The sequence below is a fragment of the Homo sapiens genome, chromosome 1, assembly GCF_000001405.40.
Source record: "Homo sapiens chromosome 1, GRCh38.p14 Primary Assembly".
NCBI classification, from domain to species: domain Eukaryota; kingdom Metazoa; phylum Chordata; class Mammalia; order Primates; family Hominidae; genus Homo; species Homo sapiens.
Genome location: NC_000001.11, coordinates 97,337,381 through 97,357,288, shown reverse-complemented (window position 1 = coordinate 97,357,288; position 19,908 = coordinate 97,337,381). Strand labels below are relative to the sequence as shown.

General features: G+C 34.3%; 1 protein-coding gene and 1 long non-coding RNA gene across 8 annotated transcripts in view; one reads left to right on the top strand and one right to left on the bottom strand.

Moving 5' to 3' along the window:
* Positions 1-19,630, bottom strand: part of LOC105378867 (uncharacterized) — a 48,351-nt gene extending 28,721 nt beyond the window's left edge. For both annotated transcript variants that reach the window (XR_007066237.1, XR_007066236.1), the window contains exon 1: positions 15,618-19,630. This is a non-coding gene — a long non-coding RNA (uncharacterized LOC105378867). The remainder of the gene's footprint in view (positions 1-15,617) is intronic.
* Positions 1-19,908, top strand: part of DPYD (dihydropyrimidine dehydrogenase) — an 843,317-nt gene that overhangs the window by 563,771 nt on the left and 259,638 nt on the right. The gene's annotated exons all lie outside the window — the stretch shown is intronic.

The following is a 19,908-nucleotide window of genomic DNA, read 5'->3' as shown; positions in this document are numbered from 1 at the left end:
ATTAACAATGAACTATATGAAAAAGAAATCAAAAGGAATCCATTTAACCAAGGAGGTGAGAAACTTACCCATATACTAAAAACTGTAAAACATGATGAAAGCAATTGAAAAAGATACAAAAACAAATATATCTTGTGTTCATGGATTAGAAGAATTGGTTTGTTAAAATGTTCATATTATCTCCCAAAGCAATCTACACAATCAGTGTAATACCTATGAAAATTTAATATAGTTTTTCATAGACATAGAAAATATAATTCTAAAATGTGTATGGAACTGCAAAAAAACCCTGAATAGCCAAGTCAGTCCGAGCAAAAAGAACAAAGCTGTGGACATCATACTAACTGATTCTGAACTCTACCACCAAGTGATGTTAGTTAAACAGCATGATGTTGGCATAAAAATAGACTAATTGACCAGTGGAGCAGAATGGAAAACTCAGCAGTGAACCTATTCATATATAGTCAATTGATGTTAAGCAAGGGTGCCAAGTATAACCATTGGAAAAAGGACATCTTTTCATTAAAGGGTGTTGTGAAAAATGTATATCCATGTGCAGAAGAATGAAATTAGATCATTATCTCACAGCATTAACAGAAATATTATCAAGTGGATTAAAGAGGTAAATGTAAGACCTTAAACTGTAAAACTACTAGAAGAAAATATAGGAGAAAAAGTGCACAATATTGGTCTAGATAATGATTTTTTAATTTTTTAATTGCTGGAGCTCCACTCCAGACCCTGTTTGCCTGGGTGTCACCAGCGGAGGCTGCAGAACAGCAAATATTGCAGAACAGCAAATATTGCTACCTGATCACAGGCAACAAGTGCAAAAATAGACAAATTGGATTACATCAAAATAAAAAGCTTCTGCACAGCAAAGGAAACAATTAACAGAGTGAAGAAGCAACCCATGGATTTGAAGAAAATATTTTTGGGCCATAAATCTGATAAGGGGTTAATATCAAATATATATAAGGAGACTAAACAACTCTTTGGAAAGAAAAGAAATAGTTTGAATAAAAAATGAGCAAGGGAGCTGAATAGACATTTCTTAAAAGAAATAACACAAATGACCAATAGGCATATGAAAAAATGCTCAACATCGGTGATCACTAGGTAAATGCAAATTAAAACCACAGTGAGATATCACTCACACCTGTCAGAATGGCTGTTATCAAAAAGACAACAGATAATAAGTGTTGGAGAAGATGCAGAGAAAAGGGAGCCCTGGCACGCTGTTGGTGGAAATGTAAATTAGTATACTTTTTATGGAAACATCATAAAAGTTCCCCGAAAAACCAAAAGTAGAATTACCATATGATCCAACAATCCTACTTCTGGGTATTTATGCAATAGATTTGAAATCAGCTTATCAAAGAAATGTCTGCATGCCTATCTATGTTCCTTGCAGTACTATTCACAATAGGCAACTTATGGAATCAACCTAAGTGTCTATCAGCAGATGAATGGATAAAGAAAATATGGTATATATACACAATGGACTACTATTCAGCCTTAAAAAAGAAAGAAATTGTGTCACTTGGAACAATATGACTGGAACTAGAGAACATGTTACGTGAAGGAAGGCAGGCCTAGAGAGACAAATATTGCATATTCTCTTACATGTGGACTCTAAAACAATGAAACAATCTAAAACTAAAGAAACAGAAAGTAGAATGGTGATTACCAGAAGCTCGGGGTGGGGAGAATAGGGAGAAGATGGTCAAAGAATAGGGAGGAGATGGTGAAAGGATGTAAAGTCTCAATTAGACAGGAATAATAAGGGTTCTTTTTACTATGAGATATATTGTAAAACATGGTGAATATAGTAAATAACCATTTATTGTACATTTCAAAATTGCTAAGAGAGTAAATTTCAAATGTTCTCACCACAAAAAGTAAGTATTTTAGGTGATGGATATGTTAATTAACTTGATTTAATTTTAACGTATACATTGTATTCATAAATTGTAACATCACTTGGTAACTCAAATATATACAACAATAATTTTTCAATTATTAAAAAATAAAATTTCAAAAATGAAAGATTTTGAATATTAAACATATACCTATTATTCCTATAGAGATGATAGATTTAGAATACATAAAGTGAAATATAGTTTCCCTTTAGGTAGTAAATAAGTGTGTCTTAAGGTGATTGCAATAAAAGTATAGTTATCATGATGTAAATATATCCCAAAATAATAAATTCATAAATGATTTTTATGGTGATTAGAAACTGATTTTATTCAGTCAGTTCCCTTTGTATTCTAGGCAAAGTGCCTATTTCTACACATGGGATCACATTCATTCCTCAATCAACTTTGAGGGGGAAGATAGAATATTCTCCACATGAAAAATAAAGAAACTGATGGTAGAGTGACTTGTTCCCCATTGATTCTCCAGGGATTAATGTGATTAATGTGATACATGGCAGGTATTCAGTAAATAATTTGGGGATAGATTAATGAATGAACGAATGAATGAGTGGATAATTGAATGAATTCACCTTTGACACAAAATGTCTTTTCGTGTCATTGGCAGTGAGAAGATCCTGAGAAGGATTGTTCTTGAGTATGACCCAGGAAAGTAGTTCTGATTTTTTTAAATTGAGAACTTACATTTCAAATTAATTTTCTTCCTTCTGTGACCACTCTCCATAACTTGTTCTGATTTTTTGCTATCTTTCCACCTTCTACTATTTTAAGCTTCACATGTCTGATTTCTCCAACCTAAATATGTTTGTCCTTGTCCAGAATTACATACTACTTATATATGCATATTATTAACAATTTTCTGTGATCTGGACCATCTTTTTCAAAATATTTTATCTTTGGAACTCAAAAATCATTTTGTTTAAGAATGAGCATTTTTTGCATTTTGCGTTTTACTATAGGAGTTTGGAGGATGAAAGATGTCAAAACAGCTGACTGTGACTTCCTTTTACACATCTGTTGTCCTATATAAGCAAGGGTTGTATCCAAGGATGAGAGGACAGAAAGAGAAAGTGCACTGTCTAGCCTGGTCTTTTGTGGAATTAAGGGATGCACTTTTCAGCTGTCTCTATGCCTATGACCAAATGGCGAACGGTTCTGGATTACAAATGCCCTAATGTCCCATCATGCTTTGTTGAGAGCAGGTACAACACCTGACACCTGCCGTGCTTTTTGTTTAGCAGGCTCTCACCCAAGGGCTAATTCATTTAATTCTCACAGCAATTCTATGATATATTTACTATTATTGTTCCCATTTTACAGATGAAGGAACTCAGAAAGGGTAAGTAACATGGCAGGGTCACACGGCAAGTCAGTGGCCTCATCTGGACCCAAATCTCGGCCATCTGGCTCAAGAGCCTGTGCTCCTGTCCCTCAGACATGACTGCCTCTCAAAGAAGAATTTTAAAGAAGTAATCCCTGGCTTTATCAATCACAGAAATTATTGATAGATATCTTGATGATGCATTTCAGTTTGAAGACAGTGCTATTTGTGGAAGTTATGAAAGTTCCTCTATATAAATACTACCGAAAAGTCCAGTTTCTGGAAAATGATTGCTGAAAATGATTTGTATGGTCTCTATTTTTTTTGAGACTTTTAAGTTTTTCTGCACCCAAAATTCATTTCTAAAGAGAAACTGTAGCATAGAAAAAAAAAAAAAAAACAGAATGCAGTTTTCCAGTTATTAATGTTAATTGTCCAAGTCAGATTTTATGTTTAAAATCCATCTTTTGGTGGTTGTTTACTTTGACATGACCCCTGCCTTAAAGGAGGGTATATGTAGTTTCAGATTAAGAAACTGCTCTGGACAGAAGTTTATTATTTAGGAAAGGCTTTAAAAGGGGGAAAAAACCCCACCGAGGTGTCTTGAGAGTTAATACACCCCTTCTTCAAACGGTGGGAAGCACTAAATATGCAGAGCGCCATCCAGCACCACAAGTGCTCCTCCTGCCCTTGCCTGCCATTCCGCAGCCCTGCCCCTCTACAAATGGTAGATCATTAAGCCATCCAGGCAGTGAGGAGTATTTTCATATAGCTACTGCCCTTTATAGCAGCCTGGCAGCGAGTGACCATAATAAATTATGCACTGCTCTGTGAGACTGTGACACAATGCACTGGAGGAACAGCGGGGGTGTTAGAAAATCCATTATTTGAAATTTTTGTTTCTTTTTCTTACTAGATTCCATGCTGCTCTTTTCCTGTCATCTTGTTCCTTTTTTTCCTATCTATTGTTTTGAGGGTTTTGTGTCTGACAGTTCTTTTCTACTGCTGGTTTTGTCCTTTTTGTTACCTTGTTTCTGCCTTCATGGGCTCCCCCACCCCCCTTGCTTGATCTTGTGTGTTCTGAGCCTTGTTCTCCTTTCTGTCATGCGTCGTTTGCCTTACTTTTCTTTCTCTTTCCGCCTTATTGTCTCATATAATACAGAAAAACAAATTCTCTTTTTGCCTGCATTCTTTTACATGGTGTTATGTAGTTGTCATTTTCCCTTCACGAAAGGTGCACTTTACTGTATGTACTATTCATTTTGGTTCCAAGAACCCCAAACACGTGTCCGGAGGAGTGCCAATGCTGATGGCAATAAAAAACAATCAAACATCATCCCACAAAGTAGGGAAGGGGAAAAAAAAATCAAACAACCAGAGTAGTTTTTTTTGAAAACAGTGTAGACCTATTTCTTCCCTGTAGATCAGTTCACATAGAATCTGTAAGATTTTTTTTTTTTTTTTACTATTTCAGGTTGTTCAATATTTTCCTCTTTTCTCCAAGAGCAAGTCTTTTCCAAAGTGACAAATTTTTGACACTATTTCTTGTAAATCCAGCTGTCTGCTCATTCTTTCATTGTTTCCCACTGATGAGTACAGCCTGAAAAGATAGTTCCACTAAGTGGAATTCAGTTAATTCACTGATTCATTTAATTCATTAGTTATTAATTGAGCAACTATTAGGTAGCAGGCCTCATGCAGATGTTAGAGACACTGGGAACCATCAGTTTAGGTTTTGTTCAATCTTTTATATTCCTTAGTTGGTTATGTCCATCATTCCCAATTTTTCTTTCCTCTTTGTGTGGACACGCCACATTGGCACTTGTTGTCTGACCTCCTCCACTTTCACTTCCTTGATCCCTTTGGATCTAGAGCTCCTTCTTTTTATTTAGAGTTATTTGAGAAGGACTTTTTTCTGCTTGAAAATCTCACTGCATCATTTTAGAAAGTTCAAACCTCCTTGGCAGTGAATACCAAAGAATGTGCCAGATTCTTTAACCCCATTTTTGTGTCACACTCAAAATGAAATAAAAATAGTAATCTCCACCTCTGGTATGGCTACAAATTTTTGTAATACTTGCAGTAGCTGAATTAAATTGAATTGAGATGTATAGTTATGAAATATAAGTGAGTTACATCAAAATCTGCAATTCAATTCTTCTTTTACGGTATTGAGTTCCTTGTTCCTTTTAAATGTTTTTCTCCATTTGCTTTTATTTGCCTGACTGATTTCCTCTTTTATAAACATTCTCTTTTCTAATCCTGTTTCTCCTGAAACACGTTTGATTTTGTTTCTCTCCCTATCGTGTTTGCTAATTCTCCATTTTTTGCCTTATTGTATTCTAAGATTAATGCTGTTTTTATTTTTGTTGTAGTTATTATTTTAAATAAGATTGGGGATAGTAGCTCAAAAAAGTTAGTGTACTGTCTTCTACCACGGACATGATTTCTTCTATCTCTGTATTCATGTCCTTTATAATTTTAACCTTTCCCCTTGACCTCATATCTCTAAATTTCCAGTTCAGTGTTTCTTTCATTCCATGATTTATTTTTTTCTTTTCTTGCCACTTTGATTCTGCCCTTTACCTTTTTCCTGTATCAGGCTTATTTTTAAAAGAAACATTGGTTCTTTTAATATCATTTTGCAAACGCCGTGGGAACATCTTCTCTCATTTTATTTTTACTAATTGGGCTTTCAGAGTAAACTCTCCAACTTGTCATATAGTTCATTTTAAGCACCTGCAAGAATAAGTCAGTTGCCCTGTCAGCTTCCAGATGCAGTGGAATGTTCATGTTAGATCTTACATATTTCAAACTTCTAATTTTTAATTACTCTCTTCTCGGTTTGGAGAAGAGGGAGGAACAGATATAAAGAGCTATGAAGTTTTGAAAGAGAGATAATAAACTGAAAATAAATAAGCAAATGTGATAACGGGGACACTTGCTTCCTTAGAGGATGTCACAGGGAAATTATTTATAGTGGCTGAATAGGAGATACAAAGTTCAGCAAACCTCCCACAGATTCTTTCCTGAAGGCCACGACTTCCTGTAGCCAATTGCATCAAACATAGTGGCTTTTCTATAAGTTCACCATATAGAGTTTCATTCATTTCATTACTAAAAGACTCAGCCTTGGTAAGGCACTGCTCCCATTTTACAAGTCTTTGACATGACACACTCATTTTTAAAAGCACACAGTATCGGTTGCTGTTGAATCTCATATTGCATTTCTATTGACCAGATTCCAGTTATAACATAAACACTTGGGTAAATGATTACATTTTAAAGTCAGTATGTAAAACAACCCTGAACAACTATGTCAGATGTTTTTAAATTTTTTCTGATTTTGTGACTCACAGCATTATTAATAATTGAAACTCTGTTCTGGCTGTGCTTAACTAGTGCCAGTTTTAATACAAAACCTGTCATATTTAAACACAACTGCTCCAATAATAAGCTATTAATATATCAGTTAATTTATTTCACTGACCCCTGTAACCTAAACTTTTAGGTCACCTTGGATTTGTCAAATGGGATGGCTGCCTACAAAAGTTCAGTCTTATATATGGAGGAGTAAATATAAAAATGTTATGAGCAACCCACATTCCATTATAAATTGTAAGCATAGAAAGAATGTAAGTAAATTTGAATGACTAAATTATTTTTAAGTATCAGTTGTATATAGTACTAAGCTTCAGATTAGTACTAAACTTCAGATTAGAAAACTGTTTAAATAAGACATTTTGGACAAAAGCCTATGGTTTGAGTATTTAATATGTTCCTCCTTACCAGCTATATCCCAGCCAGTATTACAATAAAGTTTAATTCTTTTTAGTTAAAAAGCAGATTTCAATTTTCCCATGGCTTCCTTTCTTTTTCTTTGGTCTCCTTCTTTGTCACTCCTACCTCTATCTGTTTCCCAGCCTACAAGAGGAGTGGTCTTCAGCTCTGAGACTGGTTTCTCTCACTGAATTTTGCTTAAAAATTAACTTTGTCTTTCTGTTTCTTTAATTACATATTTCTTCTCTTTTTGCTTACATAGCATTTCTCTTGTTTGAATCTGCAGCATTTTTTTTTTTTTTGGATTCTTTTAGAATCATTGCCACTTTCTGATTCCTCAGGGATCTAGAACTAGAAATACCATTTGACACAGCCATCCCATTACTGGGTATATACCCAAAGGATTATAAATCATGCTGCTATAAAGACACATGCACACGTATATTTATTGCAGTACTATTCACAATAGCAAAGACTTGGAACCAACCCAAATGTCCAACAACGATAGACTGGATTAAGAAAATGTGGCACATATACACCATGGAATACTATGCAGCCATAAAAATTGATGAGTTCATGTCCTTTGCAGGGACATGGATGAACCTGGAAGCCATCATTCTCAGCAAACTATCACAAGGACAAAAAACCAAACACCGCATTTTCTCACTCATAGGTGGGAATTGAACAATGAGAACACATGGACACAGGAAGGGGAACATCACACACCAGGGCCTGTTGTGGGGTGGGGGCAGGGGCGAGGGATAGCATTAGGAGATATACCAAATGCTAAATGACGAGTTAATGGGTGCAGCACACCAACATGGCACATGTATACATATGTAACAAACCTGCACGTTGTGCACATGTACCCTAAAACTTAAAATATAATAATAATAAAATTAATAAAAAGAAATAACTCCAAAAAAAAAAAAGAATCATTGCTACTTTCTTCAGTAAGAACTTGTAGGATTGGCTCACATTGATAATATTAAATGGTTCTCATTTTTGAGAGCTTATTTTATGCCAGGAAATGGTTAACATTTTAAGTAGATTATATTATTTAATCCTCAAACAACTCTCTGAGCTAGTGTACTATTATTCGTACTTTCTAGATCAGGAAACTGCAGGATAGAAAAGTTGAGCAACTTGGCTGAAATTCTACAGCCAGAAATTGACCACAGGTTTCTGTACTACAGGACTGTACACTTAATCACTACTCCGTAGCTTTTCTGTAAAATGACACCAGGTTATATTACTTGCTTTTCTTCTTGATGTCAGAATAAGTGATTTCCTCACTGTGTCTTTCCTTATCATGAATTCTGATGACAGCTCAGAGAACTGAAGCAGAATAGTGTCCATATTGGGGGAGGGGAAGTTGAAGCCTATGGCTTTAACATCTGGATCAATATTCCCCTTCATACCTTCTGGCTCCCTTCTGTCCGCCAACTGCATGAGATTGTGTCACACATGACAGCTCTTATCTCTGTTACTAGAGTGGCCACTTTCTAAGGGCAAGGTCTTTATCACATTCTTTTTCATTTCCCTCACATTACCTTGTATATTAATATTTTCCAGATAAAAGGACAGAAATTGTAGGCCCTGTGGATGAGCCTTCCAGGCAATTCTGCTGTTCAGTACTCAAGCTGTGCCACTGTTTTTCCTCAAAATTCAGGAAAAAGGAATAGTTCTTCCTTCCATGTAAGCCAGGTGCAGACAAAGTGGTCTGTTTTGCAAGAACTTCATTGTTTTACACAACTGTGTTTTCCTTATTTACGGAAATTGGTTACAAGAAAGGAAGCAGGATAACTTAGCTAAGTAGTTAACTGTTTCTTTTGTAGAATGCAACAATCTCAGATACTTGAAAAGGTTTTGCAGAATTTTAAATAAGTGTTCCCAAAGAGCTTATGTTTTTATTTCAAATTACGATTCGACAGCATTCAATCCCTTGTTATTGCTTTGTCAGACTTTTAATTGAATTATTCAGAACATGAAACAAAAGGAAAGAACTGTAGATATAGCACAGTAATATTAACAGAATTACCAGAGTGCTGAGAATTATTAAAGAGGACATTATGTTTGTTAATCGGGCATTTAATTTTTCTTCTGTTTGTTGATGGAAAACATCCTCTTGGAAAGGATTTTCTCAAAAACCTTAATTGTGACAATGCCTTCTTAACATCCATGAATATACTGTACAAGCAAAAGCTATTTGAAATCTAATTAGTCAAAAAGATTCCTAATTTCCATTTTAACTGTAGAATGGCTGACCAGCATTCCAGTGAGATTGGTTTTCAGTACACAAGAGAAAGCTGGCCTTCCAAACAGGCTTTAGAAAGTCAGAAATGCAGGAGGAAAGGTTTTAAGCTATTACAGACTATAGCAAAAAAAATGATATATTGTATTCTTGAGAATACTGAGAATGTTTATTGTGGTCTCACTACAAAAAATGAAGACTGTGTGAGATAATGCATATAAGTAGCTCAATTTAGCTATTCCACAATGTATATATACTTCAGAACATCATGTTGTACATGATAAATACCTACAATTTTGTCTGTCAATTGAAAAAACAATCAGTCAATAAAAAAACACAATACTCCCTCAATTTATGAGCCCGGTACAACCTTGATATTGAAAGATTAGTGTAAGAAAAGAAATTATAGGTCAGTCTCACTCATAAGCATCAATGCAAGATATGAAACAAAATGTTAACATGCAGAATCCAGCAACATATTAAAAGATTAAAAAGATGAATATGGCATGACAACATGGAGCTTATCTCAGTAAATCCAGGTTGGCTTAACCGAAAGAAAACATCATGTCATGTAAGTCATCATATTAACAAGTTAAAGCAGAAAAATTATATGATCATCTCACTAGATACGGAAAATATGTTTGGTAGAAGTCAAGATTCATTCATAATTTTAAAAACATCTTAGAAAATTGTGAATAGGAAGGAACTTCCTTAAAGTGATCAAAGATATTTGCAAAATATCTGCTGCAAACATCAAACTTAATAGTGAAATGTGGTAAGCATGTCTTTAAAATCAGAAATAAAACAAGGGTGCCTGCTGTTAGCATATTCATTCTACATTGTACTAGATATAAAATGCCAATACAGTAAGGCTTGAAAAATGAATTTAAAATAAAGAGATAAAAAATGAAAATATCAGGATTGGGAAAAATGACATTATTCACATATCTTCTGATAATCTATAAAAAATATCCAAAAGAATCCACTGATTTATATATTTATATGGATGTTTAAAAGGCCCCAAATCACCAAGGCATTCAATAATAATAATAAAATAAAATATTTTATATAGCATTTATGCTAGACATTGTTCTAAGCACTTAACATATATTAACTTGGTCATAACCACTTTCAACAATTCTTATAAAGCTATATCTCTTAAGATAGGGGTTTTGACACACAGTTGGATAAATTGAGCAAACTCGCAGAACACAGAACTCGTAAAGATACCCAGACAGATATGGAAGCTTGATTTTTGTCTGAGCTATCATTACAAACCAGTGAGAAAATTTTGAACTATTAACTAAATACTAGTAAGACAATCATTATCTATACATAAAAATCAAGTTTAAGTAGATAGACCTTTATGTGATAGGCAGTACGGTAAATGTTTCAAAAACAGTATAGAAAAATGCCTTATGGACCTTATAATCTATAAGGATTCTTTAAACAAGGCAGAAAATACAGAGATCATAAAAGTTTGTTAAAATTTCTTAATCAAAAAATACCATGAGGAAAACGAAAAGACAAGATATAAATTAGGAATAAACACTTGTTCTACAAACAAGAGACAGAAGAGTGATATTTAGAATATATGCATTTCTTCAAATTCAGAAGCGGAAGACAACTCAATATAAAAACTAAAAAAAGGATCGAGCAACCACTTAAGAGAAGATATAGTAATAATTTAAAAACTAGAAACAACCAAATGCCCATTTATGGTAGAAGAGATAAAAAGACTTGTAATTATACAGTGGAATACTTTGTAGCAATAAAAATGAATGATATATGGCTATATGGAAAACATAAATAAATCTCTGTGATATAATGTCAGATTGACAAAGGAAGTTGCTGAAGAATAAGGAAGAATATTATTTCATGTATATGGAAGATAAAAACATTTAATACTAAATTATATGTTCTTTGGAGATATAAATGTATATGGTAAAACTTTTAAAAGCAAAGGAATGAGAAATAAAAACTTACTTTACCTAATATATGTATTATAAATATTCTTTTGCATTTACTGCATTAAACAAAATTTTAAACCTATTTTTACAGTTCTTGCAACATGTTGGGAAAGTCTTGTAAAAAAAATCATTAAAATAATATGACCCAAGTGTAAATATTGTTTGTGTACTTCTATTAGGCAGGTTTCATAGTGATTAAGAGCACATATTTCAGAACTGGATTGCTGAATTCAAATGCTATGCATACTATATGTTATCATATAAAGCAAGTGACTTTGCACTCATTTTGTCTTCTGTAAAATGGGTTAATAACAGCATTCATCTCATGGAGTTGTAATCAAGACTAGAAGCCTTCTTACACACATAATTGCAAGTGAGGTACCCATCACTTTTCTTCCTGCTGTTTTCTACCTGTCAATTAAAAAGCATTTTCTCGCATCCCGACAGTCACCGTTATCCAGTCTAGGATATGAGTTATGAGGGAAAGGTGATTGAGCCATTCCACTTGGACTCCATTTTTGTGTTTTCAAAATGAAATTTTGCTTGGTGAAAGGATTTCAATGTTTTCTTACTTTTGTTTTGATCACAAAGTTTAAAAAGCATAGTTGTGAATGAACATTTAAGGGTATACAAAAATGTAGAGCCCATTTTGTTGAGTGAAGAAAAGCAATGACAAATAGAATGGGAAGCATGATTCCATCTCATCTTTAACACTAATGTCAGAATATACACCAAAAATATTATGGACAGTTTTCATCTTCTTTTTGTCCATATGTATTTTTTAAAATGATAATGCACTCTTCATGTAAGCAGGGGAAAATGGGACATTAGGAAAAAATATTTTTAGCCAGTTACTAAGAAAATGACAAACAATTCAGATTTTTAAAAATGGATAGACAATTTAAAGAAGCAAAATTACCAATGGCCGGTAAACGTGAAAAGATATCCAACCCAGCTGGTCAGAATGGAAATACGAATTAAACCAACACAGATATTATATTTTTCATCAACTAATTTGGCAAAGAGTGATTACCATTAGTGCTATAGAGAGTGTGGGGAAGCAGTCACTTTCATATTTTACTAGTGGAAAGTGAAACAGTACCACCCTTTGGGAAAGCATTTTGCAGCATCTAAGTAAATTTCATGGCATATACTTTTAGTCCCAGCAGGCCAATTCTAAAAATCTCTCCTATAAAAATTATAGTACATGCATAAACATGTTTCATGTAGTTCAAGTTAGCACCATTTTTAATAACACAACTGGAGACAAATGTCCATCCTTAAAGAACGTTGAGTAACTTATGGCATGTACACAATGGGATACTCTGTCACTATAAAAAACAGTGAGATAGATCTCTATGTCTTAATGAAAGGGAAAAAGTAAAGCAATTTTCGCATATATCAATGTAGTGTGTGTGTGTGTGTGTGGTGACATATATAGATTATATATAATGTAAAGAGAAAAAAATTGAATGTTAAAATAACAATAATACATGTATTATATAAAGATGTACATATATAAACATAGGGTTTAAAGAATGAAAAGAATAGACACCAACACTACTAGTGTTTAGAACCTCTGGTACTGGGAAAGGAGAACTTTCATTTCTTTGTACAATTGTCTATATATGAACAATTCTCAACACCTGTGTGTTTTATTGTTATCTTCTGAGTTATGAAATGGTACTGCATAGCATTAACTCAAGCGTGAATGTTGGTCTGTCTATTCAAAAAATAAACCATATTTATTTGGAATCATACTGCCCTACTTCTAGAATTCCTTAGAATGGTTACTAGCAAGTACTTTTGGCGAGATTCTCTCTCTCTCTCTCTCTTTTTTTTATTTTTAAGAAATAATGACCAATAATAAATTATCCTCAATTCATTTACTTAATCTAGGGTTCCTTTTCATAAAATACTTTAAAATAGCTATTTTCCACTAATAAGTGTAATTCTGCAGTTCTATGTAAATATTGAATAATTATGTATTAATATAATTGCAATTATTAGTGTAATTTTTTAAAAAATAAGATGCTTGTTTAAGAAGCTTTACCATGGAAACAGCACATGAAACTATTTACCATTTACCATTGGAGTAAATAGGTAGTAAGTGATGATATAAATATAAACGAGTTAAAATTTTAAAGACTTACAGACTTTTTTAACTTGGCATTGCTTTTGTGAAGATTTATAATATCTCACTAGCTATTTTCTACCTATTTATTGTAGTAAAGGGACTTTGTTCTTTCATACCTGACCACAAAAGAAAGCCATTTGTAGCTTTAGCACTCATATATTAAGGGAGTTGTATGCTTTTTAAAAAAAATTCTCATGGAAGACATAAACCTAATCAAACCTTTCTACCCTCTAGCTGGTAACCTCTGCATGAACTAAAGAGTTGAAATATTGTTTAATCATGCTACATACCACTTTTTACAGTTATGAGAAACATTATTTTGCTGCTATAGAAGCAACAAAACAAAATGTTTTTACTCTGTGTTAAGGACAAGTATATTTTTTAAATTATTTATTTTAAATAGCATGATTTCTTATACTACACTTTCATTTTCTGTATTTTAAATATTACTTTTAGCAAAAGGCATATTTTTAAAATAATGATAATACACATGCAACCTAGGGACCAGAGACCCTCATACTGACTTGTGCCTCAGATAAACAACATGTAATTTCAGTTGGCAATCTTTACTTGATTCCTTCAGTCCAAACTCAACTATTATTAACCTTTGTTTGTGACAATTGAAGAGAATAATGGTGGAATTTGGGGCCTTTAATGTCACATTGAAATCAATAGCTGTAAATGGTAGTTGCCACAGTTCTAACTGATCTGTCACATTCAAACAAAAGAAGGCCTTTCTCAGTTCATAGAAGATAGCTGGGACAATTAAACACACACATACAAGAATCTCAAAAGACTTTTATAACATTAAGGAAATGTACTGATTCACAGTATTTTTTAAAAGGCTTTGTTTATTTGTTTGTTTGTTTGTTTCTTTGAGTGTTTTTTTTTCCTCTCCTGAAATTTTAAGTCAAATACAGGAGATGTAACTGACTTCATCCAGAGATCAAAAAGTGTGCTCTATCATAAAAATAAATTGAATTGTTCTTCTCAAAGTGGTGGTGATGGTAAGTGGTAGGGGGAGTGATGATAAGCTCCTTCATGAGCTGGCAAGGCCAGTAATTGCAAAGGCCACTAAATAAAAACAATTCAAAATCCTTGAAGCCAGATCCCTGCATGCCACTGACAGCACCCTTACCACGACTTCAACTCCCAACACAAATGTATCTTTTAGACTTCTGAACATTCATCAGTGCTAAACTTTCAGTGCTCAGTTTTGACTTTGTTTTTAATTTTCTTATTCTTCTGGACATTTGGGGAATGTAAATTAAGGGGTTTCAGTTCAAGTTTCCATACATGACTTTGATACGCATATTTGTCAACTCTGAACCTACTACTAGTTATAATTGGCTGTACATTGATTAATTCCACTAAGAACATAAGTCGACTTTGCTTAGCACTGTGAAGCTGTATGAAGTAATAAGAATGTTTCAGTGATTTTCTAGAAAGAAAAAGCCTTAGTAATTTTTATCCTTATAATAATAACAGGTTTCCAAGTTTTATTAAGGCACAATATGAAATATTCTTATTCACTGAAATACCATTCCAACCATCCTTTGAAAAATTAAATTAGTTGTTCTTCGAAGTAGAAACTAGAAAGATTCAATACTACAAGAATACAGGAGATTAAAAGGAAGAAAGTAGACAAGATCATGTATTTAAGTCGCCTTAAGCAAAAGTACTATTTTTTCTCAGCTTACAATTTTATATGACAATTTTTCACACTTAACATTTTCCAAAATTATTAGTTTAAGGACTCCATTATTTTTCTAAAAAATTATACTTCTCTGAAATAAATTCATTGACTCAAGAAGAACATAATCAATTTTTAATACTTCTTTTCCCCAGTTTATTTCTTCTCACTAGAGTATGAGATTCTAAACTTCGTCAGATCAGCTACCTGGAACAAAACAACTACTATGCTAGTGAAGCAGTTCTCCTGAAAACAAATCTCCTATTTGTAGCATTTGTTGCTGGTTTCTGTGTTATGAATTCTCTCACTATAGCCAATTTCAAGCTACCAACCTGATGTCACTCAACATGGAATCGACTCCAGGACAACACTGAAACAGTTAGGCTTTCTCTAGGAAAGACTTGATTCTGCAGCTACTGTTAGCATGACTAGAACACTAACAGTAGAAAAGGATGTGCTAATCTTCCTTAAGGAGAAAAACAGAGTGATAAAATGGCTGACCAGAAAGTCAGCTGTTCTTACCAGGTCTTCGTGATTATCTGCTTTGACATAAAGGAAATAAGGATCCTTAATTTGGTAAGGTAAAACTAAAAAGTTTTTAATGTAAATTTCACCTTTTTAATATGCTAACCTAGAGAACTCAAAATGTTCCTCTTTAATGGTGTGGTCTCTGTTCAGTAAAAGAACTTAGAGAGATGAAAATTCCATGGGTTCCTATGTATATCCTGTGTTCAGGAGATCTGTTCCTTAAATTATATTACTTTAGGAGAGAGAAGGATTCATGAGAAAAAATTTTACTTGTCAAGTCTTGTGCATAGAAATATCAATCTAAGCATATCTGCAGTAAATTAGGGGCTTTGCAATTCAACTTGATGTAATTGAAGGTATTTGTATGAATTCAATATACATGTCCGCATGTATATGTAGTGAGAGACAGAGACAGAGGGAGAGAAAAAGAGAGAACCCTGTGTTAATCAGCTCCTTTTGCTATGAAACAGAAAGGAAGGCAAACTAGCCTAAGCCCAGTAAGAGAAATTGTTGACTCAGAGCCAAACCATAGGAATGGCAGTACTCCTGACATGGGGGAAGACCAGAGACAAGGACCTAATGTCATGGTACTCCTCCTTCAATTTCTCTTGGTAACTAGCCTTTACTGTCACTTTCCTGCAAATATAAGCAGTTGATAAAGGGGTGAGGTAGGTCATCTGTTGGTTTAGATTTAGATTTATTAAATTCTAGTCAAAGAACCCAATGTATAAAACAGCTATTTTGGGGGAAATTGCCAAGGTATTCTTGTGGCCAACTGTATGTCAAGTAATTCACATGAGTATATGAGAAAAATACATGTGCTATGTATGTTGCTACATAATTTCACAATTATCTATTAAATCAAGCAAGTTAATTGTATCACTCAACTTATCTACGTATTTACTGTTTTCAATCTGACTGATCAGTCAAAATCTAACAGATACCTATTAAAATTTCCCATTGTTGTGTTTTTATTTTCTTTTATTTTTTGAGATAGGGTCTCACTCTGTTGCTCAAGCTGGAGTGCAGTGGCGTGCTCACAGCTCACTGCAGCCTCAACTTCCTGGGCTGAAGGGATCCTCCCACCTCAGCCTCCCGAAAGTAGCTGGGACCACAGGCACACATCACAACACCTAGCTAATTTATTCTTACTTTTTTTGTGGAGACAGAGTCTCCCTATGTTGCCCAGGCTGGTCTTGAACTCCTGGGCTAAAGTGGCCCTCCTACCTTGGCCTCCCAAAGTGCAGAGCCACCATGCCTGGCCATCGTTGTGTTTTTATATCATTTCCCACTTTTTCCCTATATGTCTTTTCTTGTTTGATATATAGTTTATGCATATAGCTTTGAGAATTATTCCTGTAATCATTATATCACTAATTATCTTTATTAGTGCTTTTGACCTGAGTTTTCATTGTTTTCTTAACATTAATATTTCCATTCCTGCATTCTTTTTTTCTTTTCTCTATTTTCATAATTCATTCCATTAACATATATAGTGGTAAATGACCTATTTACTTATTATTATAATATTTTGTGTTTACTGTTTATTTACTTTGTTGGGTGTTTTTCCTTTTTTAAAAGTCTCTTAATTTGGAAATTGCATTCTTCTGCTATTCACAATAATATGTGAAACAATATTTCTCGCTTAGTATATCCAGTTCAGTAATGACAATGATCACACTAAGACAGCCTACTTGCCCATTTTACTCCTGAATCTCTACTCCCTGTACCTTTTTAGAGACTTTTAAACTCCTTTCTACCTTACTTCCTCTTCCTTCTTTTCTCCACAATTTTTGGATTTTTCTGAGTAGCTGAAAGCTCTTTGTTACGGGTTTTAATTAAACACACACACAAACATAAATTTTAAGAACACTGTCTTATAATTTCTATTCTGTCTTAGTTATAGAATTATCATCACATAAACTAAAACAAGTTAACACTGTTTATTCACTGTATTAACACTGCATTGTGCTTTGCTCTTCTTGTAAAGAAGAGATTTGCTTCTGGTAGAAATTTTATGAGATTGGGAGTACTTCCTTGAGTATTTTCTTCAGATAAGATATCAGTACATGGGTGGCATATTTTCTGAATTCTTGATTGTTGAAAACCATTGTGCCTTTTTTCTTAACATTTGATTATTATATTGATTGGCTGGTATAAAGATTCTTGGGCGACAGTCATTTTCTTTTAATAACATAGTCGCATAATCTTTCTTTTGTAAGAAAACTATTTTTTGTTCTGAGTAGAAGAAAGAATTTTTTTCATTAGCATTGGAGGTCAGACATTTTCCCTGATTATGTCTAGGTGTGTGGCTTTTTGTAAAATTAATCCTGTCTGAGTCTTAGTGAGCCCATTCAGTCAAAAGGCACAAGCCTTTCTTCAACAGAATTTTTATTCTGTTATTTCCATGATTATGACTTCTATTTGATAGAAGCTGAAGTTTTCCCCATCTGGAACTACTTCTCTTTGCATGTTATGTCACCTAGATCTTCCTCTAAATCACTTATTTTATCACTAATTTCCTTCTTTGTCCCTTTATTTTGGTCATCCAGACAGTTAATTCAGGTCTCAGCAGTAGCTACTCTCTTTTTTTTTTACCTCCTCTCTTTGATTTTAGAACTGTGAAAATCATTATTGTTAGTTCAAGTAATTATTATTTTTATTTTCTAATTGTATCTCTTTGAGAATACTCATTACATTGAAACTAACATTCTCCTCTGTCTCATTCATTAGCTCTTCCTTAATAGTAGCTACCTGTTCAAGCTTGACCTCCCTCCCACAAGTTTAAGAGTACATGAAATAGGTAGCAATTTTTCTTTGACTTCCTTGTAATGTAGATTTTGCCACACAAGAACAGGCCAGGTTTGAGGTTTTCTTGAGCACTGGTAAACTGGAGGTTTGTGGGTGCAATGGCAATTTTGTCTGGTGAGCTAGTGATTACACCCTAGCATACCAGAACCTCTTCACTGGGACAGGTATAAGACCAGGACCTAAGACTCTCTAGGTCCAAGGGGGACAAAGTTCCTTCTAAAATATAAAAACTTGTAGCATTTTGTCCTACCTATTGCATCACCCCTACCCTCCCAGGACTGCCTACCAGCCGCATGAGGCAACCTCCTGAAGGACTGTGTGAGACCTTGGCAGACGTGCTCTTCTTTGGATGATCGAAGCTCCACCGGCATATGTGGCTGGGCAGTCTCCAGTGGCCAAGGAATCTGCTATATATTAGCTTCAGACCTGTTGGGACCTCTGTTCTTCTCCCTTCCCCAAGATAAATGAATCCTCACACTTGCTCTCTTCTCCAGGAAACTCAAGGCTTCAGTGGTACTACTTGGCTTATTTAAGTGTTGACTTACCCTGGCATCTTCCCATCTTCCTAGAATCCATTTTCACAGTTTTAAATATTGCCACCAAGTGTAAAGGTTTTACCGTATACAATTTTTTTTATTTTCACCTTTATTTTGCTTAGATTATCTCTAATGAATCTAATTTTCCCAATGTCTCAGTAAAAATAGCTGTGGGGTTAAAGTGGCAGGTGAAAATAATGACACCATAATGTCTTGATACTTCATGTATAAAACTCTGTAACAAATAGACTGTATAATAACAGACACATTTAGCAAACAGGAATGGAGGAACCACTACATTTAGAAAAGGAGAAGGAGAGAATCAAGGTGTAAGTTGTCAATGGTACTAAGTACAGAGCCCATTCTGCCTGGGAGATTTAGTGGCAACTCACTTCCCATGAAATAAAGCAAGTTCTTTGTGTAGCCAGACTGAGTGCCACAGCTTCAGGTCCTCTTGCCGGGGAATAACCCTTGCCCAGTATTGGCACAGTCATAAATGTTAACATAGTTAAATGGTACTCAACTGTTAAGCAATCCCATGCCATTCTGCCAGACTTAAAGTGTCTCTGGAAATACAGCTTTTTAAAAATTCCACTCAGATCTGTATTGCTTTCATTTGAGACAATCTCCTAACTGGAAACCAATTCCAAAAAAAAAAAAAAAAAATGTGTTAAGTCATGAGCCTTCAACTTAGCCCTGGTAGTTTCTTAGCAAAAGGCCTAGGAGGTCAGCCATCAGCTAAGATCTCGTTTGAAGGTGTTCTGTCTTAGAACAGTGGAAATCAGAGGGCTGTCTTAGGAGGCCTAGGTGAATGAGATGTGTTACACTACAGAGGTGAGCCAGCATGTGGTGGTCAGGGCAGAAGGATGGAGAGTGGGAAATTAGTAGCTTTCGTTTGGACAGGAAGCATAACACGAGGTATTTGATAGAGTCCTGAG